At 39.3% G+C, this 26265-nt stretch overlaps 1 long non-coding RNA gene across 2 annotated transcripts in view; it reads right to left on the bottom strand.

The window, feature by feature from the left end:
* LINC01818 (long intergenic non-protein coding RNA 1818) overlaps positions 1-26265 on the bottom strand; it is a 186703-nt gene that overhangs the window by 141210 nt on the left and 19228 nt on the right. For both annotated transcript variants that reach the window (NR_187171.1, NR_187172.1), the window contains exon 2: positions 570-648. This is a non-coding gene — a long non-coding RNA (long intergenic non-protein coding RNA 1818). The remainder of the gene's footprint in view (positions 1-569; positions 649-26265) is intronic.

Raw genomic sequence — 26265 nt, 5'->3', positions numbered from 1 at the left:
GAAATCCGGGGAATGAGGAAGGACTGTTGTTGTTTCTTTATAGTTTAAGGAAAGTAACACTTCTAAAAAGAACACAGAAACAGAGGGCTCCCAGCTGTGAGGAATTCCCTCCCTGGTTTAAAAGGTCATTGACTGTTTGCAAAAGGAGTTGTTAGATACTGTTTGCACAGTGCAAATCAAAAGGAATTGGGAGCAAGTCCATAGGTTAATGAGACATTAGCCAGCCTTATGATGTGAAATAGGAAATGCACTTTCCCCTTCCATCCTCAATTTCCCACCAACTTTTATGTAAATAAGTGACTTAGTCAGACAAGGAGTCTCAAAAGCAGGCAACTGGGCAGAGAAAATCTTATCTTGGATTTTCCAAGGGGCATCCATTGCACTATTAAAATTAATACTATTTCTTGGTGAGGCCAATTTAATGCATCATTGCTTCTAATTGTGTGCATAACAGACACCTCTTTGAACATTTAGACTGGGATGTAAATAAATGTTAGCATTCACACATTCACACATCTAATTAATTTTCACCAGAAAATTCATTACAATAACATGCCATACAGACTTACCTTCATTAACTGTTATGGAGCCCTTCATAAAGCAATGTTTCCTGAAATATTATATATTGGGCAGTGGCAGTACAGCAGGCTGAAAAAGAAATAACAAAAAGCTGTCTTAAAAGAAAAATTCTAGAAACTTTACATGGATTTGTAATTTAAGCTTTACTTGCTTTGTTTATAGGAAAAGATATAGCACATTAGAGTTTGTAGGCAAACTTCTAGAAAACCTGCAGTTTTAGATTCATCTAAATCTCACAAACATGGTATAATTTTTAGCCTTGCTCTGAATGTTTACTACATCTCCAAAATTCCAAGAACTCTGTTGAAATTTTATCTTTAAATTTGTTTTTCTTTTAACTTTGTGCAATGTTTCTTTAAACCACATCTTAGTGGTTATGCCTTAGAAGACTACGAGCTAAAATAAAACCCCGAAATGGTTTAGCATCCTAAGAATACATGCAATTTCAGATTTCAAGTCTAAGCCATGATGTTGAGCATGGCCATCTCCTCTGGGTAGAAGACTGTCCTTGACAAAGGTTCAATTAAGATATGGATGTAAAATATATACCATGCAATGAAAATGGAGAGACTGAATGTCATGGCCTAGCTGAGAGAAAGGGGGATGTCTTAAATTCAGGCTTCTCCTGAATGTTATAGAAGTTATTCTTTAAAAAAATTAATTTCACATTAAATTTGGAGCCATTTTCACTGAATGTAATCTAAGTTGTGGGTCTTAAATTAGTTGTTTTTCTTAATGAATCATAGTCATTCTTTTCTGTAAAAATTCAAATTTCCTGCTCTACACAGAGTTTAGAAAAATCTCTGGATATTCCTTAAGCATCATTTTAAGTCCTTCATCAAGCATTTATTTATAAAAATAGCACCGTACAATTATTTTGTGCTTTTTACATTAAAACATTTTCATATGCATTATTATGTTTTATTAAGTTCAATAGAGGGTCAAGCATTGAGCAGGAAAGAAAGAAAAGAACTAACTGCTTTTCCTATCAGCATTTATGGGCAGAGAAACTCTTACTTGGATTTTCCAAGGGAGCTTCTGTTGCACTACTCAAATTAATACTATTTCTCGGTGAGGCCAATTTAATGCCTCACCAAGGTATGGAGAAACAAAACATACCTTCTACTAGATAATACTAGACCATATATAATCAAGGCAGACAGTGTGTGATAATCCTGTTTTCTTTGTAGAAATAGAAAACATTCTTCTTTGCTTACTAGAAGCATATGAGGTCCCATATTCAGCACCATTCCAGCACAATATTGAGCAAATTATAGTTCTCACGTTTGAAGCAGCAGCTGCCTTTAGCTGGCTGATTACTGGACAGAAGGATTAAGTATCATATTGCACATGCCTGTCTTATAATAGGCTCTTAAATGTTTGTGTTCATGTATTCATTCCACAAATCTTAGTGACAGAGCAAGTTTTTCCTGAGAAAGTGAGATTTGAGTCCAGATGTGAAGATGTGGACTATGTGAATAGGATGATCAAGCAAGTGTGGTGTGAGGAAGTTTTTCTAACAGAGGGAAGGGCGTGTGCAGAAACCCACAGTGGGAGGGAGCATGATTCTGCCCTGACCCAGAAGGAAAGTCAGCGGCTGGATGCAAAACTTTCTGGGCAGAGGGGCCCCAGGCTAGGCTCCACCAGTAAGGCAGTCACGTGGGGTTTTGGTGCCATTAGAAAACTAGATCTTCATGCAGTGAGTGAGCAGAAGCTACTGAAAGGTCTTAAGCAAAGGAAAGACATATTTAAAAGATCTTTGCTGTGAATCTTAATCTTTTCTAGGTCCTTGTCTTAGTCTGTTCAGGCCACTAAACTACAATACCACAGACTGGGTGGCTTATAAACAAGAGAAATTTATTTCTCACATTCCACCCACTGGAAGTCCCAGATTCCAGAGTGTCAGGCATGGCTGGGTTCTAGTGAGGTCCAGTTTCCTGGTTCATCTTCTTGTTGTGTCCTCGCATGGAGGAAGGGGCAAAAATTTCCCTTGGGCTTCTTTTACAAGGGGACTAATCCATGCGTAAGAGCTCCACCTTCATGATTTAATTTCCTTCCCAAAGCCTGCTCTCCTAATATCGTAACATTGGGGGAGGAGATTTCAACATATGAATCTGGGGGTACACAAATATTCAGACCATAGCAGCCACTAAAAGAGAAGCACAAAATTATAAAAACATTTTAAAATAGCTTTCACTGGTCCAGCACAGTGGCTCACATCTATAATTCCAGCACTTTGAGAGGCAGAGGTGGGAGGACTCTTTGAGGTCATGAGTCTGAGACTAGCCTGGGCAACGAGAGAGACACCTGCTCTACAAAAAATAAGAAAAAATATTAGCCGGATGTGGTGGGTACTTGCCTGTAGTCCCAGCTACTTGGGAGGCTGAGACAGGAGGATTGTTTACACTCAGGAGTTTGAGACCACAGTGAGCTATAATTGTGCCACTGCACTCCAGCATGGACAACAGAAAAGACTTCGACTCTTAAAAAGAAAAAAAAAAAAGCTCTTATTGATTTTTTTCTTTTTAAAATATTTATTAAATGAAATAGATACAGTTCTCAGAATAGTACCTGGCCATAGTGGTTCAACTGCCAACTCAAATTGTCTTGGAAAATGTAGCAAGTTTCCAGTGACAGAGATCTCCAATCTTACTGCTTAAGTTAAACAAATGTCCATTATTTAAACTGGGCTAAAGAGATGGTTTAAATTACTGTATTTGGTGTCAAAAAACAGACTGTTTTCAACATGTGGAGAGTCAATACATCATGATCTTTTTATATCCCATTAGTTTTCCAATGTTTTCAGTACTATATTTTCCCTTGAATAGAAGAGCTCCATTTACACAATAACAGATATTTCACAATTGCAGAAATGTGAATTGCAACTTTCTTAAAACTTGGCTATAATAAAGTTTACATTTCACATGTACACTATTAAAGATAATTTTGAAGACTGTTAGACTAACAGTAGCAATAACTTTCAAAAGATGTTTGAGGACTTTTTTGTGTAACTTGACAAGGGCATATCTTAAAGAGGAAAGAATGTCTTCAAGGCTAACCAGGCATCTGAATGATAAAGTAAATGAAAAACTGTGACTCATGAAAAGAAATGTTTCTAAAATCTAAAGTAAGGTTTGTCCAACTCTCATAGTAATCTTAGCCAATCAAAGGTTGCCAATTCTTTGTTAGATGCAACATCTTAGACAGTGGTTCTCACCAGCATTTTTGCAAGCATTAGAAACAAATTCCAAGGCTCTACCTCAGACCTCTTTAATCAGCAAACTCTGGGGTACAGCCTGAGAATTAACAAAAGTGTATGTTAAAAAGCCCTCCAGGTTCTCAAGTTTAAGAACCATTAGCCTAGCAGAAAATATATCCTTCAGAAACCATATCATCAGCTGCTCAAGTCCTACTTTACTGAAATAGCTTTTAGTATTACAAAAGATAAAGAGGGAAACATTATAGCCCAGAACCATTTCCCTCCTCTTGCCTAATAGAACCCTTCTCTGAATGGCCAGTATGCTTCAGGGAAATCTGGTGGGTCCCTGCTGCAGAGATGGACCCTGATTAGGCTAAACCAATGATGGCAATCCCAGCCCCTTACTTGGGAATGGTTCAGAGATATTGTAGGTCTGAACCAATCTGAGCTATTGAAATCCATACAAGATGGTTTACTGTTTGGGCAAGGAATTTCATGATTCTTAAGAGCCAAAGGAAGCTATTTGTCTCTTCCACTGCAAGAAAACATAGATGCTACCCGCAGACATCCATGAGCTTAGGAGAAGCAGCCAGAAGATGAAATGGGCACACCATGGGTTGTACAGAGTTGAATGTCTGAAAGGACCCTCTTGATGACATTATGCCCACTGGATTAGCTCCCCGTGAACAGCCTTATGTCAGGCTTTCCTGTAATATATCTCAATGCCCTTCCTCACTGTTGAAGACAGCTACAGATGCAGCTTGCAACCAAAAGCGTCTTAACATATTAGATCTTCCCTAATAAACAACGAGCCACCCAGAGACATGGGTCATGGATTTAATTTTCTTTATATCCTGAGAGTCCAGATCAACACCTGGCAGATAGTGACTGCCTAACAGACTTTTGTTGAAAGAATAAAAAACGGAATACATTTACATTTTGTAAGGATATTCTACTTACCAGAGCATCCAAAGAGGTAGAAATGTAATAGGATTACTTTAGAAATAGTTTTCTTCAGAATGCATTTATTTTGTGCTAGTTTTCAAACAGATTGGCATTGAAAACTGTAATGAGGAGGCCTTTCATCTGGGATAGAAAAAAATAGGTCTACCTATGTTTTACTTTTAATAGGTTAAAACTTGAACATAAGATGAAAATAACCACTGCTTTTAATCGTTAAGAATGTGTTCCTAATAAACCTACAACTTAAGAAACACGAACAACTCCCTGCTTTGCCATCAATTCCATTACTCACTTTCAGTTTTTCCTTTCTTTTCTTGGCAGATGCTCTTAATTGCTCACAAGTATGGATAAGAAGTGATTATAAATTTCAGATGTAATAACATCAGAGAAAAGGAGAAACAGACTGAACTGCTCTATCACTTAAGGGTTTTTTGTGGCTTCATTTTTCCTTTCTACCCTTTCTTATGTTAGTAAAAATCTCCAAATTTGAGTGATCTCTACCTAGCTACTCTTGTGTGCTATGGGGCCCTTCCCAGGGCAGATAGAGAATAAAAGACTTGAGCCCTCCCTAGAGTGGCCCCGATAAGGTCACGCAGGGGTAGGGCTGAGACTGAAACCCACCTCCTCATCTCTGGAAAACCAGACCCCCAGGTCCTTCAAACAGCGAGGTGGCATCGATTACTCCAGTGAGCGTGTAAACAGCACTTGGCATATCGCAGTCATGACTTTTAGGCTCAAAATTTTGTCTACGTACCAAATACGCCCAAAATGGTGAGTTTTCCCCTTTTGATAAGATGTGACTCTAATGCTTCCTGAATTGAAATTTCAGCTTAATTTCCACTACAAATGGCAAACCTTGTTATTCTAATACTTTCGCTCCTCCTTAGCCACATGTGATTTCAATACCACTTAGCAGTGAAATTATTCCTTAAATGTGTAGGTATAATAAGAAGTTGCTTTTTTGGGTTTAATTACATTAATCAGTAAATAAAGCACACTTTCACTACTTGAGAGCAGTGGAGTGTAATGGTTTTGGGGAACGATTCCCATCTTGAGCTCTCTTCCCTATTTACACCTGTCCATTATCCCTTTTTGTTAGGAGCTCCTTTAGAGTGTTTACCTCACGTCCCTTTACAGCATTTTAAACTCAAGCATATTAAGATGTGAATGTATGAAAGTTTACATGGCCATTTTGCGTGTGCATGGGTGAGGTCCATTTGCATTTTAAAGGGGTGAAGCCCTTTCTGCAGAACTTCTAGCATTTGCAATCTGACAAAGGAGCTAACGGAGACAGGGGTGGCTGTACTCTCTTGAGTCTGCTGAACAGTCTTGGGCACATTTTCACCCAGCCACGAGGCTGCCCTTTGGGATGACATACCTCACTAAAAATAAAATGAAAACACTCAATGGCAATGAAGACAGGATCAAGATTTACATATTTGGGACATGATGAAATAGGAAGGCAATTTAAATTTCGCCAGTGTTATTACACTTATTGTTAGACACCTAAAAGCAAAGCTGAGTTCTACCAGTTGCAAATACAGCTGCCCTCCAAGCAAGTGAGAACTCTTCCTTTCTCATGGATTGTTCTGGGAGTTAGTCAAGACTGGCTGATAAACCTTCATGTGTTCTCTATAAAGAGTTGTTTACTATGAATGATTGTGTGAAGAGCTGCCACCCCAGGCTAATCAGGGGGGGCTTCTTACCTTCACCACACCCCACTATTCTATAAGACACCAGGGTCATACATGCACTGCAACTGTCTTGCTCTGTGTGTCACACCTGAACCACTGAAAATGTAAGAATCTAAGTGCTCCCAGTAAACCCAATGACTTTGACTACACACCAGCAGTACAGTGGGCCTGTTAGCCATAAGCCAATTAAGGCAATTAGTGCTATTTAATGTGAAATGTTCTCCAATACCCACACTGGCAGGAATATTAAAAAATACAAGCACCAAGAATTCTGATTTATTTTCCTGTTGCTCGGGCCAGCTGCTGAGTGCCAAGCAGCACTGTATGTGCTCCTGGCATAACTTGATTAATAATCTTGGCAAACAAAGAATCCTTCAACAAATAGCAGTAGCCTTTTGATTATATCGTGCCAGAGATAATAATTGCTTCAAATTGACTGTAGTGGAGTCTATTTGCTCATGCATAATGAAAAAAAAAGATCATATAACAGCTTGATTACAAAAATGAACGACATGCTGGAAACCTACCAAGAATTCTCCCAAATTGGATATTTTAATTGTTTTACCTCACTTTCTGATCCAGCCCAAATTCATTTAAGAAAAATTTTACATACCAAAATCTCTATGAAACAGGGAGATTTCCAAGCCTACTGGCAATAATTCATTGAGTTAATGAATGTGAAAATGTTTTTTTAAGCTATATAAAAATACATTATTATTATTATTGGAACAATATTTAATTCATCAAAATTCCAGTATACTGAAAAGTTTAAATTGGTTCTTACAAGTCTGGAAAAGGAGACTTGACCTGTCCTTTCTGTTAGAAATGGGAATTGTGCAGACTACATCTTTGCATGTAGGTATTCTACAATTATTTCAATTTAAATATGGATTGTGCTTAGTAATGAAAATATGGAAGTGTGCCTTTGATTATTGCCACTAATCTCAGTCACCATTTGCTGAGCAACTACTGTTTCAAACACTGGGCTATGCAGTTAACGAATATTATCCAATTTAATCTTCACAACAATCCTATCAGATATTCTTTCCACACTTTGCACATAGTAGGTACAAGATAAAGATTTGTTGCATGAATAGAGTTAAGATACTTCCTTGCATCACAAGCAGGTGGACCACCATTTCAATCAACCTCAGTGCTCTTTCAGTAGCTTTTCTCTGAAATCCCTTGTCTATGCTTATTTTTTTCCTTTTCAGGAGTGACACTTTAAAGATTCTAAGTTCTAATGGTCCCCAAATGGGGCTAAGTGCAACCATACTAGGAATTCCTCCAGGTACATGTTCTTCAGGCATCCAGGCAATGTGAAATCTTCTGAATGTACCACTAACACCTATAGGTAATGACAATGGCTAATTGTCCTCAAGACTCAGCAGAAGGAACTGCTCTGGTGACATTTCAGACATGCTCAATGTGAGGCTGCCAACACAACAAAGGACCTGATGGCAGAAGACAAGTCAGCTGGGACACAGTTTGAATTTAGCTAAAAGGATCCAACACTCTTGCCCAAACAATTTTCTGGTTTTTTCTTTTTCTTTCTTTCTTTTTTTTTTTTTTTTTTTTTTTGAGTTGGAGTCTCGCTCTTGTCGCCCAGGCTGGAGTGCAGCAGCATGATGTCGGCTCACTGCAACCTCCACCTCCCAGGTTCAAGCAATTCTCCTGCCTCACCCTCCCGAGTAGCTGAGATTACAGGGGCCCACCACCACCCCCGGCTAATTTTTTTTTTTTCTGTATTTTTAGTAGACAAAGGGTTTCTCCATATTGGCCAGGCTGGTCTTGAACTCCTGACCCCATGTGATTCACCTGCCTCGGCCTCTCAAAGTGCTGGGATTACAGGCGTGAGCTACCGTACCCAGACCCAAACAATTTTCTTAATGAACATTCTACTTAGAAAAGTCTGTCATTTTGAATTTTCCACATTTGTGACAGATTGACCCACATTCTTAATGCTGATCATGGCCAGTCCTAGGTCACATTTTGAAGGGAATTAGGTTTCCCTATGGCATCTTCTCTACACCGTTTCAGCACCCCATTTTCTCTCCACCTGCTACAAACACCACCTCACCCCCATCTATTACCTTAGCAGCCTACCTTTATTAAAAACGAAATTAAAATATTTATTTCAAAATATTTTAGCCATGAAATCCTTGTCCAAATGTATGCTTACTTGGAAGCACAAATAAACAAGCCTCTCAAGAGTATGCGAATAAAGTTCTAGGATATTAACTCAATATCAACTCAATGATGCTTACACCTGAGTAAGAAATCTTTCTAGATCTTATCTCAATGTCCACTTCATTTCAAAGAGTTCTCAGATGAACACAACAACTCAGATGACCTGTTTTCTGAATCTCTCTGTGCTAATAGTCAAGGACCTGGCTCAAGTCTAATTCTTCTTTGCTTTTATGTTTGGATTTATCTTTTCTGCTGAGATAAACTGTAAACTCCCTCATGGCAAAAACATGGCCTTTTACTTATTTTCTGTTCATTTAAGTAGAAGATTCTGTCTATAGTAAATAATTTACCAGAAGTACAATTTAGAAACAATTGTCATTAAGTTAAAGCAAAACAGAAAGATAAGACAGAGGTATTCAGCTTTGATGAGACCTGCTGCCTACTTTTTTTTTTTTTTTTTTTTTTTTTTTTGAGACAGAGTCTCGCTCTGTCGCCCAGGCTGGAGTGCAGTGGCACAATCTCAGCTCACCGCAACCTCCGCCTCCTGGGTTCAAGCAATTCTCCTGCCTCAGCCTCCCAAGTAGTTGGGACTACAGGCACGTGCCACCATATCAGGCTATTTTTTTATTTTTCGTAGAGACGGGGTTTCACTGTGTTAGCCAGGGTGGTCTCCATCTCCTGATCTCGTGATCCGCCCGCCTCGGCCTCCCAGAGTGCTGGGATTATAGGTGTGAGCCACCGTGCCCAGCCCCTGTTGCCTACTTTCTTGTACCCCTCTAGTTTTGGGTAATAGCTAGAGCACTGGGTAGAAGACAGACAGCCAACCAAAGTTGAAACTGGACACCTCAACTTACTGTGAGACTGTGGGCAATTATATTTACCTTTCAGTGCCTCAGTTTCCTAATCTGTTAAGTGGACATAAAGGCTTCATCAACTAATTATGAGGATTTAAGGAGACTGCATATATGAAGCATATAGTAGACACTCAATAACTTTATACCCTACTACACTTTCCTGTTTTGAATCCTTTGGGACATGTGACCTACTTTTTCAGACACTGGGCTATACAGTTAACAAATATCCAATTTAATCTTCACAACAACTCCATCAGTTACATATTCTTTCCACACTTTACAGATCGTAGGTGCAGGATAAAGGTTTGTTGCCCACAAGTTTCTTACTACAGGTTAATTGGGTAAATAAACAAACAGAACTCCCTTTTACTAACACAGAATTACAGGCTCCTGTTCTGAGATTTAATGTCCTCTATTGCACTGTTCTGGATACAAATGAGGTAGGAGGCAGGCAGGACTAGTCTCAGGACCAGAGTGAAGACTGGCCAAAACTTGGAAGAGGGGCCCAAAGCACTTCTTGCTGCCCATCCCCCTAAGACACTACCACCAGTGCCATGACAGTTTACCAGTGCCATGGCAATGCATGAAAGTTAATGCCCCTTGCCATGGCAACACCTGGAAGCCACCTCTCATTTTCTAGCTATTTCTGAATAACCCATCCCTTCATTAGAATGTCATTTAAAGTGGGTTTATGACTGCAAATGCCGTAATGCTGCTCCTCTCAGTGCACTGCCTATGAGGTAACCCTGCTCTGCAGAAGCAGTCACAGAGCTGTAACACTGCCCATGCCTTAAAAAAGCTGCTTTCTTCAGCCACTGGCTCACTCTTGAATTCTCTCCTGAGTGAAGAACTTGCCCTGCATGACAAACATTATGGATTGCACAACTCTACGTGGTTGTGTACGTGTATGATGAGTTGACTGTGTGTGTGGGTGGCAGTAGGGGAAATCTTCCTCTTTGGTGGAAGAGCAGGCAAGAAACAGAGCACTGTTTATTCCTCCTTATCTAGCCATCCTTCCTGCCCCCACTACAGAGAGATGACTTGGTTTGACCTTTCCTCTATTTGATTATAATAGTTCAAAAAATATTAAAATGAGACAGTTTCTCCTTAGTGAAGGATTTTAGCATGGTTTTGTACAACAGGGCTCACACATTAATGTGCTTAAGAATCATTGAGGATCTTGTCAGAGTGCAGATTCCAAGTCAGTAGGAGCTGTGGGGTGGGACCTGTGGTTCTCCTTCCTTCCCTCGCTCCCTCCCTCCCTCCCTCCTTCCTTCCTTCCTTCCTCTCTCTTTCTTCTTTCTCCTTCCTTCCTTCCTCCCTTCCTCCCTTCCTTCCTTCCTCCCTCCCTCCCTCTCTCTCTCTTCCTTCCTTCCTCCCTCCCTCCCTCTCTCTCTCTTCCTTCCTTCCTCCTTCCTTCCTTCCTGTTTTTTTTTTTTTTTTTCAGAGTCTCACTCTGTCACCCAGGCTGGAGTACAGTGATGAAATCTCGGTTCACTGAAACCTCTGCCTTCTGGGTTCAAGCGAGTCTCCTGCCTCAGCCTCCTATGTAGCTGGGACCACAAGCATGACTACAGGCATGCATCACCATGCACAGCTAATTTTTGTATTTTTATTAGACTGGGTTTTGCCATGTTGGCCAGGCTGGTCTCAAACTCCTGGCCTCAAGTGATCCACCCACCTCAGCCTCCCAAAGTGCTGTGATTACAGCTGTGAACCAGAGGCCCGGCTGCATTTCTAATAAGCACTCAGGAAATGTTACTGCTGCTGCTGCTCCACAAATCGCACTTTAAGTAAGGATCCAAGTAATGTAATCAAGGCAACCAAAGCCAATCACATAAAACACAAGGAAGAATACCACTAGAAACAAGAACAACAAAGCAAAAACTCAGATTGAAAACTCACTTGGCAGTGGCACAATGTGTATTATAGGACTAGAGGGAATCACATGCTTGTTTATGCATTTGAATTCTAAAAAATCTTTTATTTGCTTACATATGAAGTTCAGACTCTCATTCTTGGTCTCATCTTATGTATCACTGGGAAAAGCTCTACTCATCTTCATGCCCCTCACATATGATACCCACTTTTAAGTTCCACATATTTTAAGAAATGTTCATAGGTATCTTGGAAACCAAATAAAATGGAACAAAAATGTATTTTAGAAGATTTTTAACAAGTATCTCATATCTATGATGTCTGCTGATATACACACAGAACAAGCACATGAAAAATACTGTTCACAAGCCCATGTGAAATAGTCATTTCCAGCACTGATTTGGACCCAGATGGCCTGCATCTGAATCTTGGCTCTCTTACTCACTAGCTTTGGTGGGTTATTTCACATCTCTGTGCATGAGCTTCCTCATCTACAAAATGAGGACTATGATAGTTTTTTTTTTTTAATCTCAGGTTGGCTGTGCGGATAGATGAAATTAATTTAAGTATAGGACTTAGAACAGTGACTCATACATAGGGAGCACCATATAAGTCTGTTTCTGTTGCTATTGCAAATTACCCTAGACTGGGTAATTTATAAACAACAGAAGTTTATTGCTCACAGTTGAGGCACCAGCAGATTCAGTGTCTGGTGAGGGTTTGCTCTCTGTGCTTCAAGATGGTGCCTTCTTGCTGTGTCCTCACATCATGGAAGGGCAGGCAGTTCCCTTGGGCTTCTTTGATAAGGGCACTAATCCCATTTACAAGGATTCCACTCTCATGACCTATTTACTTCTCAAATGCCCCACTTCCTAATACCAAGACATTGGGGGTTAGATTCTAGCGTACGAACTTCTGGGAGACACAAACATTTAGACCATACTAGGTATTATATATATAACCACCTATATATAATTCTTAACTTTATAGAATAGTTTGACTTTAAGAAAGGAGTACATGTAATGCAAATCAGCATTTTGGGGCCAATCACTCCAGAGCATGTTGTCTGTGAATCATCACAAGTCATGTAGCCTGTCTTTTTATTTGAATGTGTGTTTGCAATTTTGGTCAATATTTTACTATTTTAGTCATATAAACTCCAAATATTTTCTCTTATAGTAATAAATTTATCTATGAGACAATAGTTGGAGTATACTTTAATTTAAGGCAAATTGTATATCAGAAGCTCTTGGTGGAGAAAATCAATATGTTATATTTTTAAAAGTATTCTAGGGCCAAATACTTTGAGATGCATATAATACAGTGGGTTTTGTATTTACAATCAAGGGTGTTAGTATGCAAGTCTTGGTTCTGCCATTTACAAGCTGTGTGACCCTGGCCAAATCACTTTTCTTTTACGTTTCATTTCCAAAATAACTATAATCATAGTACCTACCTAATGAGATTGTTGTGAGGTATAAATGAAAACAATACAAATTAAGTCCTCAGCACACTGCCAGTCCTATAGTAATTTCTCTATCAATGAAATGATAATAGCAACAATAATAAATACATTTAGAAATTATGAACCTTGGTAATTAACAAATCTGAAAGCCAATGCAAGCATATCTAATATAGATGGAAACGTCTCCAACATCAGGAGAAAGTCATATGTTTTCCCCTACTTCAACCTTCTTCCTGCCTCTCTTCAACCTCCAAAGTCCAGATAATCTAATGTCTCAGCTTGTCCAGCAGAGTCCCATTTTATGTCTGTTGTTCCAGCATAAATGTTAATAGGACAGCCTATTACACACGAAGTGTACTACTTAAGACAATAAATTGCATGTTCACCCACCTGCGGGACTTTTCTTAGCTGATCATTCACCTCATTAAGATTACAAAGAGCCCTGCATGATTTTCAGATAAGAAAAAAAAAATGACCTTTTTTTTTCAAGTATTACAAGCCCCAATTTCCCTGAAAATAGAATCAAAAATTTAAAAATTTATTTTTCTTTTGATTGACCACAATGTGTCTCATAGGCTCTGTCCAGAAGACAATTATTTGCGGTAGTTTGATTTCTCTGAGATGAACTTTGTTGGGATGTGAAGAACTAAGCATAAGAAGCAAGAACAAATTGGGGGAAATCAATGGCTGAAAATATGGGTGGGGCCTAGAATTACTATTGTCAGGGGAAGGGGGAAGTGACCAAAAATACCATAAGAAATATACTTCAGGCATGGATCAATTTTCTGCCACTGATTTTTAATTTTACCTTCTTTTTCTCCTTGTTGATTGCATCATGGTTATCCTGCACTGCAGCAGCGTGGTGATTAAAAACACACAACTTGGGCTGGGTGCAGTGGCTCATGCTTATAGTCCCAGCACTTTGGGAGGCTGAGGCGGGTGGATCTCTTGAGTTCAGGAGCTCAAGACCAGCCTGGGCAACTTGGTGAAACCCCATCTCTCCCCAAAATACAAAAATTAGCCAGGGGTGGTTGTGCTAATTTTTGTGTTTTGGGGAGATATGGGGGTTTCACCATGTTGCCCGGGGGCTGGTGTTGAACTCTGAGCTCGAGTCTTTGGTCCCAGCTACTCAGGAGGCTGAGGCACAAGAATCACTTGAACCTGGGAGGCAGAGGTTGCAGTGAACTGAGATGGCACCACTGCACTCCAGCCTGGGTGACAGAGCGAGACTCCATCTCAAAACAAAACAAAACACACAGAATCTGGAGCCAGACAGCTTCTGTTCATGTTCACCCTCCAACATGTACTAGCCGTGTAACTTTGGGCAAACTCCTTAATATTGCTGAGTCTCATTTTCCTCCTGTGGTAAAAATGGGGCTAACAACCTATTTCATAGGGTATATATCAAGATTAAATAAGGTAATATGTGTAAAGCTCTTAAAATAGTACCTGGTGCTTAGTAAGTGCTTTTGTGCAAACTTTTATTTTACTTTTACTTTTATTTTACTTCAGGACTATTATAATAACAGAGTAGAACTAGGATTTCTCCTGATTCTAGCTTTAAATAAAATTAATTGGTCAATCTTCTGTAGTAAGGGTACTGTTATTGTTATTACTAACATTTTCTTTTGATTCATTCTACTGAAATTTTTTTTAATGTTAATGTGTTGTCTCCTTGAATTTTCACTGTTCAATGTTTACTTTCACACATATGACTAACCATGGCTCAAAACACATATGTACAGTTGAAGTGAAAGATGGGTTTTTGATTTAATGGCAAAAAAATTAATCGGTGGTAAAATAAGAACTCTTAAATGAGTGCTATTCTTTAAAGGGATGATATTTCTATCACTATTATATGTTGATTTATAATCACTATTATATACTCTCTTTGATGTAATTTAGACACATTATGGTGGGCAGGAGAAGAAATGAGATGGGCCATTGTGAATCAGTGGTGTAGAAATAAGCATATGTCATGAATAGAATAATGTTCCTATTTCTCAAGGAGCACAGTATGAAGAAATAATTGTTTTGAAAATGTAAGATTCAAACAAGATGTCTGATTTAAACTGTATAAAGCTTATTTACCACCACTGGCAAAAATAAGAGGTGAAAGACCTTCTGGGTCATGCATGTGTCCTTTTAACCGGGAACCATGGAGACAGGCATCATAGAAACAGGTAAATCTCATCTTTTACTTTTTGAAGCTTTTATATAATTCCTTTAGCTTTGTCCATGAAAATTCAGGGCAAAATATGTGATAAGTATCTAGATGTTTCAAAATTTTAAACCACACTTCATTTTCTCTTTAAAGCGAATATGATTTTAAACATGATTTTAGCATAATTGTCTCAGTTCTTCAAAGAAGCTGTAGAAAGTATGTTGGCAGATGTTACAATCAAGAGGTTTCTGTTGATTAGTCTTTAGGGACTGGAATGATGAAGGAGGCTCAAAATAAATAAATCATAGTAGTTAATGTGTCCCATTTCCCTCTTTAAGGCCTTATCTAATGCAAAAAGTGCCCCTAAAACATTGAAAAAGCCATATTTTTCTTCTATAGAAATATAAGATAGAGGTTATTGAACATAGAAAAAAATCTAAGATCAAAAGTGCCTCCTGAATAATCAAAAAGAGAGAAAAGCAAATTTATTATGCTTCTGTAATGTTAATTATTACATTTAGTCCCTCCAAAAAGTGATTATCCACAGACTATATTTGTGGAACCACCAGATAGTTTAAGTAACTAATAGGTCTTACTCCCTAAGCATTCTGCACAAGTCAGAGTTGTTCTACGTTTCTTCAGATATGGCATTGGCTAGCTTTTATGTAGCACTCCAGGACTACAATCATAACATCAGAGCAGTCCTGAGATTCCTTTTGATCCAAGTTTTGATCATAGTAATCAATAGATCCATGTACTCTAAGTAGTTAAGTACCTGATGCTTCTGGGCCTCTGCTGATTGTGCTACCATGGAGAGGATTGGTTTGAGGAATCTGACTAAAATTACCACCCAAAGAGTTCTTAGAGTCATTCTCTCACGTCACAGCTGCTGCCTCCATCTCAAGAATGGCTCCTATACACAATCAGTTTCAATTCATCCTGGCAGAATTATATGGAGAAGTGGTGAAGATTCATCTGTTTTAAGAGACTTGGCCTTAATTTTGCTTAAGTATGTATGTTTAGCATGAAAGTCTCTGAGTCTTGCCTCATAAAATTGAGGGTAGTAAAGAAGTTAAAGTGATGGATATTATGATGAGTTCTATCACACTCCCAGCTCCTAATTTCCCTTGCTATAGTATCTTGGTGCCCTCTCAATGTGTTTCTGTAGAAGATGTCAGGAAATACCTCTTTATACATGCCTTAAGCCATGTAGTGATCTATCCTTCTTACAGGAAAGGAGTACACTGAGATTATTATCAATGTTCTGAAGAAACTTGGGCAAGGGTCACTGAATACTTTCTTATAAAATATCTGCTTTGTTTGCTCTGAAGGAAATGAAATAACCCTACTTGGATCTCCTTTGTTTAGAAAGCCTTTCTTTTCTTTTTCAATTTTTTAAAATTATACTTTAAGTTCTGGAACACATGTGCAGAACGTGCAGGTTTACCACATAGGTATACGTGTGCCATGGTGGTTTGCTGCACCCATCAACCCGTCATCTACATTGGGTATTTCTCCTAATGCTATCCCTCCTCTTGCCCCCCAACCCCTGACAGGCCCCAGTGTGTGATGTTTCCCTCCCTGTGCCCATGTGTTCTCCTTGTTCAGCTCCCACTTATGAGTGAGAACATGCGGTGTTTGGTTTTCTGTTCTTGTGATAGTTTGCTGAGAATGATGGTTTCCAGCTTCATTCATGTCCCTGCAAAGGACATGAACTGATCCTTTTTTATGGTTGCATATTATTCCATGGGGTATATGTGCCACATTTTCCTTATCCAGTCTATCACTGATGGGCAGTTGGGTTGGTTCCAAGTCTTTGCTATTGTGAATAGTGCTGCAGTAAACATATGTGTGCATGTGTCTTTATAGTAGCATGATTTATAATCCTTTGGGTATATACCCAGTAATGGGATTGCTGGGTCAAATGGTATTTCTGGTTCTAGATCCTTGAAGAATCACCACACTGTCTTCCACAATGGTTGAACTAATTTACACTCCCACCAACAGTGTAACAGCATTCCTATTTCTCCACATCCTCTCCAGCATCTGTTGTTTCCTGACTGTTTAATGATCACCATTCTAACTGGCATGAGATGGTATCTCATTGTGGTTTTGATTTGCATTTCTCTAATGGCTAGTGATGATGAGCTTTTTTTCATGTTTGTTGGCTGCATAAATGTCTTCTTTTGAAAGTCTCTGTTCATATCCTTCTGCCACTTTTTGATGGGGTCGTTTGTTTTTTTCTTGTAAATTTAAGTTCCTTGTAGATTCTTGATATTAGCCTTTGTTAGATGGATTGATTGCAAAAATTTTCTCCCATTCTGTAGGTTGCCTGTTCACTCTGATAGTTTCTTTTGCTGTGCAGAAGCTTTTTAGTTTAATTAGATCCCATTTGTCAATTTTGGCTTTTGTTGCAATTGCTTTTGGTGATTAGTCATGAAGTCTTTGCCCATGCCTATGTCCTGAATAGTACTGCCTAGGTTTTCTTCTAGGGTTTTTACGGCTTTACATCTTATGTTTAAGTCTTTAATCCATTTTGAGTTAACTTTTCTACAAGGTATAAGGAAGGAGTCCAGTTTCAGATTTCTGCATATGGCTAGCCAGTTTTCCCAACACCATTTATTAAATAAGGAATCGTTTCCCCATTGCTTGTTTTTCTCAGGTTTGTCAAAGATCAGATGGTTGTAGATGTGCAGCATTATTTCTGAGGCCTCTATTCTGTTCCCTTGGTCTATATATCTGTTTTGGTACGAGTACCATGCTGTTTTTGTTATTGTAGCCTTGTAGTATAGTTTGAAGTCAGGTGGTGTGATGCCTCTAGCATTGTTCTTTTTGCTTAGGATTGTCTTGGCTATACAGCTCTTTTTTGGTTCCATATGAAATGTAAAGTAGTTTTCTCTAATTCTGTGAAGAAAGTCAATGGTAGCTTGATAGGGATAGCATTGAATCTATCAATTACTTTGGGCTGTATGGCCATTTTGATGATATTGATTCTTCCTATCCATGAGCATGGAATGTTTTTCCACTTGTTTGTGTCCTCTCTTATTTCCTTGAGCAGTGGTTTGTAGTTCTCCTTGAAGAGGTCCTTCACATCCTTTGTAAGTTATATTCCTAGGTATTTTATTCTCTTTGTAGCAATTGTGAATGAAGGTTCAATCATGATTTGGCTCTCTGCTTGACTATTACTAGTGTATAGGAATGCTTATGATTTTTGCACATTGATTTTGTATCCTGAGACTTTGTTGAAGTTGCTTTTCAGCTTAAGGAGATTTTGGGCTGAGACGATGGGGTTTTCCTTTTTTTTTGAGATGGAGTCTCACTCTGTTGCCCAGGCTGGAGTGCAGTGGCACGATCTCAGCTCACTGTAAGCTCTGCCTCCTGAGTTCATGCCATTCTCCTGCCTCAGCCTCCTGAGTAGCCAGCCAACATGGCTGGCTAATTTTTTTCTATTTTTAGTAGAGACGGGTTTCACCATGTTAGACCGGATGGTCTTGATCTCCTGACCTCGTGATCCACCTGCCTTGGCCTCCCAAAGTGCTGGGATTACAGACATGAGCCACCGTGCCTGGCCGACGATGGGGTTTTCTAAATCTACAATCATGTCATCTGCAAACAGATAATTTGACTTCCTCTCTTCCTATATGAATATTCCTTATTTCTTTCTCTTGCCTGATTGCCCTCGCCAGAACTTCCAATACTATGTTGAATAGGAGTGGTGAGAGAGGGCATCCTTGTCTTGTGCTGATTTTCAAAGGGAATGCTTCCAGCTTTTGCCCATTCAGTATGATATTGGTTGTGGGTCTGTCATAAATAACTCTTATTATTTTGAGATACATGGCATCTACACCCAGTTTATTGAGAGTTTTTAGCATAAAGGGGTGTTGAATTTTATCGAAGGCCTTTTCTACATCTATTGAGATAATCATGTGGTTTTTGTCACTGGTTCTGTTTATGTGATGGATTACGTTTACTGATTTGTATATGTTGAACCATCCTTGCATCCCAGGGATGAAGCTGACTTGATTGTGGTAGATAAGGTTTTTGATGTGCTGCTGGATTCAGTTTGCCAGTATTTTATTGAGGGTTTTTGCATTAATGTTCATCAGGAATATTAGCCTCAAATTTTCTTTTGTTCTTGTGTCTCTGACAGGTTTTGGTATCAGGATGATGCTGGCCTCATAAAATGAGTTAGGGAGGAGTCCCTCTTTTTCAATTGTTTGGAATAGTTTCAGAAGGAATGGTACCAGCTCCTCTTTGTACCACTGGTAGAATTCAGCTGTGACTCCATCTGGTCCTAGGCTTTTTTTGGTTGGTAGGCTATTAATTGCTGACTCAATTTCAAAACTTGTTATTGGTCTATTCAGGGATTCAACTTCCTCCTGGTTTAGTCTTGGGAGGGTGTATGTGTTCAGGAATTTATCTATTTCTTCTAGATTTTCTAGTTTATTTGCATATAGGTGTTTATAGTATTCTCTGATGGTAGTTTGTATGTCTGTGGGATCAGTGGTGACATACCCTTTATCATTTGTATTGAGTCTATTTGATTCTTCTCTCTTTTGTTATTAGTCTGGCTAGCAGTCTATCTATTTTGTTGATCTTTTTAAGAAACCAGTTCCTGGATTCACTGATTTTTTTGAAGGGTTTTTTGTGTCTCTATCTCCTTCAATTCTACTCTGTTCTTAGTTATTTCTTGTCTTCTGCTAGCTTTTGAATTTGTTTGCTCTTGCTTTCTAGTTCTTTTAATTGTGGTGTTAGGGTATTGGTTTTAGATCTTTCCCGCTTTCTCCTGTGGGCACTTGTGCTAGAAGTTTCCCTCTAAACACTGCTGTAGCTGTGTCCCAGAGATTCTTATAAGTTGTGTCTTTGTCCTCATTGGTTTCAAAGAACTTATTTATTCTGCCTTAATTTCATTATTTACCCAGTAGTCATTCAGGAGCAGGTTGTTCAGTTTCCACGTAGTTGTCTGCAGTTTTGAGTGAGTTTCTTAATCCTGAATTCCAATTTGATTGCAATGTGGTCTGAGAGACTGTTTGTTATGATTTCCATTCTTTTGCATTTGCTGAGGAGTATTTTACTTCCAATTATGTGGTCAGTTTTAGAGTAAGTGTGATGTGGTGCTGAGAAGAATGTATATTCTGTTGATTTGTGGTGGAAAGTTCTGTAGATGTTTGTTAAGTCTGCTTGGTCCAGAGCTGAGTTCAAGTCTTGAATATCCTTGTTAATTTTCTGTCTCATTGATCTATTATTGACGGTGGGGTGTTAAAGTGTCCCCCCATTATAGTGTGGGAGTCTAAGTCTCTTTGTATGTCTCTAAGAACTTGCTTTATGAATCTGGGTGCTCCTGTATTGGGTGCATATATATGTACGATGGTTAGCTCTTCTTGTTGCATTGATCCCTCTATCATTATGTAATGCCCTTCTTTGTCTTTTTTCATCTTTGTTGGTTTAAAGTCTGTTTTATCAGAGACTACGACTGCAACCCCTGCTTCTTTTTTGCTTCCCATTTGCTTGGTAAATCTTCCTCCATCCCTTTATTTTGAGCCTATGTGTGTCTTTTCGTGTGAGATGGGTCTCCTGAATACAGCACACCGATGGCTCTTGACTCTACCCAATTTGCCAGTCTGTGTCTTTTATTTGGGGCATTTAGCCCATTTACATTTAAGGTTAATATTGTTATGGGTGAATTTAATCCTGTGATTATGATGCTAGCTGGTTATTTTGCCTGTTAGCTGATGCAGTTTCTTTATAGTGTTGATGGTCTTTACATTTTGGTATTTTTTTTGCAGTAGCTGGTAACAGTTTTCCTTCCCATATCTAGTGCTTCCTTTAGGAACTCTTGTAAGGCAGGCCTGGCTGTGACAAAATGCTTCAGCATTTGCTTGTCTGTAAAGGATTTTATTTTTCCTTCACTTATGAAGCTTAGTTTGGCTAGATATGAAATTCTGGGTTGAGAATTCTTTTCTTTAAGAATGTTGAATATTGGCCCCCACTCTCTTCTGGCTTGTAGGGTTTCTGCCGAGATATCCACTGTTAGTCTGATGGGCTTCCCTTTGTGGATGACCTGACCTTTCTCTCTGGCTGCCATTAACATTTTTTTCCTTCATTTCAACCTTGGTGAATCTGATGATTATGTGTCTTGGGGTTGCTCTTCTCGAGCAGTATCTTTGTGGTGTTCTCCGTATTTCCTCAATTTGAATGTTGGCCTGATTTGCTAGGTTGGGAAGTTCTCCTGGATAATATCCTGAAGAATGTTTTCCACCTTGGTTCCATTCTCTCCGTCATTTTCAGGTACACCAATCAAACATAGGTTTGGTCTTTTCACATAGTCCCATATTTCTTGAAGGCTTTGTTCATTCCTTTTCATTCTTTTTTCTCTAATCTTGTCTTCACACTTTATTTCATTAAGTTGATCTTCAATCTCTGATATCCTTTCTTTGGCTTGATCGACTCAGCTATTGATACTTGCCTATGCTTCACCAAGTTCTCATGCTGTGTTTTTCAGCTTCATCAGGCCATTTATCTTCTTCTCTAAACTGGTTATTCTAGTTAGCAATTCCTCTAACCTTTTATCATGGTTCTTAGCTTCCTTGCATTGGGTTTGAACATGCTCCTTTAGCTTAGAGGAGTTTGTTATTACCCACCTTCTGAAGCCTAATTTTGTCAATTCGTCAAACTCATTCTCCATCCAGTTTTGTTCTCTTGCTGGCAAGGAGTTGTGATCCTTTCGAGAAGAGGCATTCTCGTTTTTGGAATTTTTAGCCTTTTTACATTGGTTTATCCTCATCTTTCTGGATTTATCTACCTTTGGTGTTTGATGTTGGTAACCTTCAGATGGGTTTTTGCATGGGGGTACTTTTTGTTGATATTGATTGCTATTGCTTTCTATTTATTGCTTTTCCTTCTAGCAGTCAGGACCCTCTGCTGCAGGTCTGTGGGAGTTTGCTAGAGGTCCATTCCAGACCCTGTTTGCCTGGTTATCACCAGCGGAGGCTGCAGAACAGCAAAGATTGCTGCCCGCTTCTTCCGCTGAAAGCTTCATCGCAGAGGGGGACCCGCCAGATGCCGGCCAGAGCTCTCCTGTATGTAGTGTCTCTTGTCCCCTGCTGGGAAGCATCTCCCCATCAGGAGGCATGGGGGTCTGGGACCCATTTGAGGAGGCAGTCTGTCCCTTAGCAGAGCTTGAGTGCTGTGCTTGAAGATCAGCTGCTTTCTCCAGAGCTGGCAGGCATGAACATTTAAGTCTGCTGAAGCTGCCCACAGCCACCCCTTCCCCAGGTGCTCTGTTCCAGGGAGATGGGAGTTTTATCGGTAAGCCCTTGACTGGGGCTGCTGCCTTTCTTTCAGAGATGCCCTGCCCAGAGAGGAGGAATCTAGAGAGGTAGTCTGGCTACCAGGGCTTTGAGCGCTGTGGCGGGCTCCGCCCAGTTCGAGCTTCCCAGGCACTTTGTTTACACTGTGAGGGGAAAACCCCGTACTCAAGCCTCAGCAATGGTGGACACCCCTTCCCCAACCAAGCTCGAGAGTCCCAGGTTGACTTCAGACTGCTGTGCTGGCAGCAAGAATTTCAAACCAGTGGATCTTAGCTTATTGGGCTCCATGGGGGTTGGATCCGCTGTGCAAGAGCACTCAGCTCCCTGGCTTCATCCCCTTTTCCAGGTGAGTTAATGGTTCTGTCTCACTGACATTCCAGGAAAGCCTACTTTTTGGATATATGTCCTCTAATCTATTTAGAAGGGACTCGTCCCTTTGCTTAAGGCCTGGTGGGATTTCCTCTGGGTGAAGTTTAATGGGAGTAGTCTATGAGAAGCTTGTGAGTTTTCATCAGCAACCATCTGGCCCAGAAAGTCTATAAAAACTATATGTCTTCCTTTTGCTGAGATACTTACCTGAGTGTCCCTACAGAAGACCAATTATGGGTTGTAGGCAAAATCTGTCTTTGTACCCTCCCATCACCAAATAAATTATTCCATGTCTGATCCTCACGGCTACTTGAACTGATTCCCACTTTCTCGAAAAGACTGAAAGAAAGCAATAAAGGGAATGCTTAAATTTTTTGAGCACTGTATTTGATAAGGAAAAAAAGATGTAGGAAATCATTTGACCCACTTCCATCTCTCCTTACTCTTGTGAAATTTTATGTCTCTAAGATGTAAAGAAGATAAATGGTCAATCTCTAATAAAGGAAGCATTCCTAATTTTCCAAGAACTATTCTGTTTGTGTTGTTTCCTCTAGTGCATTGTTAAAGTTTTCCTCCACTGCTTTTCCAGTTAATGATTTTGAGGACAATATCCCTTCCATTGATCTCTAGTTTGATAGACAGCAGAATGAAGTTGTGTCTTCTCACTATTGCCTCTTGAACAGAGAGAAGGAAAAGGGAAAAAAAAATTCCATCTTCAATGAAGACAGGAAATGGCTATGACCACATACCACAAAATTATTAGAATAACTTGCCAAGTCTTGCGAGACAATACCAAGGACAGACGCACATTCTGTAGAATTCTGGCAATGTTTCAGCAACAGCAGACATTGCTGTTTGTCTAATGGAAAATGGAAAACTAGTTTTTTGCCCATTCCCTCCTCAGGCTTTATTCTTCGTCGGCAGAGCCTTGGTTTTTGTGAGTATGAGGTGGTCACAAACTTCAGAGACTAATTATGATTAGTTGTAGCCCCCGATCATGATTTGTCCTGGTTTGAGAATGAGAAGTGACACAATTCTGGAAAATGTATGCAACAGTGTGCTTCTGGGAAACATTTTCTCATTTTAAAAAGGGACACAGGGGCCAGGCACGGTGGCTCACGCCTATAATCTCAGCACTTTTGGAAGCTGAGGCAAGTGGATCACCTGAGGTCAGGAGTTTGAGGCCCGCCTGGCCAGCATGGTGAAACCCCATCTCTACTAAAATTAGCCAGGCGTGGTGGTGTGTGCCTGTAGTCCCAGCTACTCAGGAAGCTGAGGCAGGAGAATTGCTTGAACTCGGGAGGCAGAGATTGCAGTGAGCCGAGATTGCACCACTGCACTCCAGCCTGGGTGACAGAATGAGACTCCATCTCAAAAAAAAAGGGACACAAATAAGGTTAAGCCTCTTTAGGGCCTCTGAATAGCATTATCTGCATGTAAGGCTTGGAAATATGGCACCTGGGACCGCAAAGGGAGCCAGCCTAAGGGGAAAGTGAGTGTGCCCATTTTGGCAGTCAGAAAAGATGCAGAGGATTTGAGTGTTTCATAAGGTCTCTGTTCCACTGAATAATCACCCTGAAAATGCTTTTCTCATCATTCTTCAACATGCAAGATAATGCATGTCCTAGTGGTTTCAGCCTTCTTACTCATAGTGAAAATCATCCTAATATAGCAGGGTCCTCAAACAGTAGGGCTATCTCTGATGGATCCAACACTCCTTTACTATTATAATGACAAAATCTAGGGGTGAAGATTATCTGTGGAAGCACCCTTTAACCCTGGTTCTTAAAACATAATGGAGACATTGTGGGAAAGGGTTGGCTATACATCTATTTGAGCATTAATAGATAATAATCTATTCAGATGTAGTATTAACAATAAGCAAATGTAGGAGTCATTTAGATCACAAGAGAAATATTTAAAAATGTTGAGAATTTCAAAATAACAATATAATTAACATACTCTTGAAGGTGAAATGTGATAGAAATATAACTAGGTTAAATTTCTGATTTTTCACACTGGAAGTTGATTGATACTGTTTAAAGTAGGCAAATCAAGCAGCAAATGTTTAAATGTATTATTTGAAGATACATACGTATATGTATATATATGTATTATTTTAAGAGATCTGTAAGAAAAATTTAAATTGAGAACATAATAACCAAAATCAAGAGATGAAGTAGAGAAGAAAAGTGGGAGAAAATACGAATGTTCCAGTTCATTCACTGTTTAAAAGGGACAATTCATATACACTCTGTAAAAATGAAAGAAATAAGAAGCATTATTGTTACAATTTGTAAACATCAACACTACAGGATCTAAAAACAGAGAATGTACTCTCCAAGCTACTGGTTGGGAAACATAACCAAAACAAAACATGGAGACAGATCATATATAAAAATTAGACAATTTACAAAGCAGCAATGACAAATCATATAAGAACTAAGAACAAGCCTATCTGTCATGTCAGTAAATGTAAATAAGATGAACTCAAGTTTTAAAAGAAAGAGACTCTCAGATTGGGAGGAAAGCCTCAAGACCTGAGGGGGTTAATGAGGTGCTGACAAGGTATAAGTGGGGAGAGTAACCCATCTGTCCCCAGTTTTAAGCTGCACTTGTTTTTTTTTTTTCCCAAGTAGCGCTGCTTGTGTTTAGAATTTCACGAAGTCTTTTATGAAAACATTTTTCTTCGGCTTAAGGCTCTGAACCTTTCTGTTGATAATAAAATTCTATTTCAAGCTGGATTAGAGAGCTGCTATGCCATCCTCTCTACTGCTTTGACATTTCCAATCTTTCTCCTGGTGAATACAAACATTCCTTTCCTTTTCTTGCACCCTCAAAGAAGAGTTTCTGTACTCATCAAGTCAGAAGCTATCAACTACCTACCCTATTCAAGAACGTTAAGACCTCGTTTTTAACATTGGTCAGTTGAGATACCCTGTGATTCTAGTATCACAAGAATTCTTCCACATTAATTGAACAACCATTTGCTATCATGAACCAATTGCTGGCATTGCAAAGCTAAAGAAGTCTCAACACCACAGGCTGCATGTTATAGGCTATGAGCTTTATGATTAGGTTCAGAAAATAACAAATATATGCCATCAATATGGAAATGAATGCCACTGCAGTCAGATGGACACATCAGCTTCCATGTTTCAACAGACTTGAGTGGGTGAGTTCGTTAAAATAGCACATGCTTCTAAAGAGTAAATCAGGTTGACTGACTACAAAAAATCTTTAAAACCTCAGTGTGTATATTTTTAAACTGTTACATCATGGATAGGCAGGTCAAACTCCATTGCTGTTTAAAAGAGCAGTTTTCCACCTCAGTGGAAAAGACACCTGGATGATGCAAATAGGTATGGGGTATGTTGCAATTTGTTAGCTATGACAGTTAGTGTGTGAAAGTTTGAGAATGATTTACTGAAAAAAAACAACAAATTCAAGGTTATCTACATAACATCACACTCGTGAGTATTTTGATATGCATTATTGAGCTTGAAATAAAGGGATTTAAGTATAATTACTCCTCAGAGAATCCCAAATAAATCTGTGTATACCCACGGGAATATGTATAAACCATTGGCTTAAATGCTG

The sequence above is a fragment of the Homo sapiens genome, chromosome 2 (assembly GCF_000001405.40).
Source record: "Homo sapiens chromosome 2, GRCh38.p14 Primary Assembly".
Lineage (NCBI taxonomy): Eukaryota > Metazoa > Chordata > Mammalia > Primates > Hominidae > Homo > Homo sapiens.
Note: the sequence above shows the minus strand (reverse complement) of the source record. Positions and strands in the feature narration are given on the sequence as shown.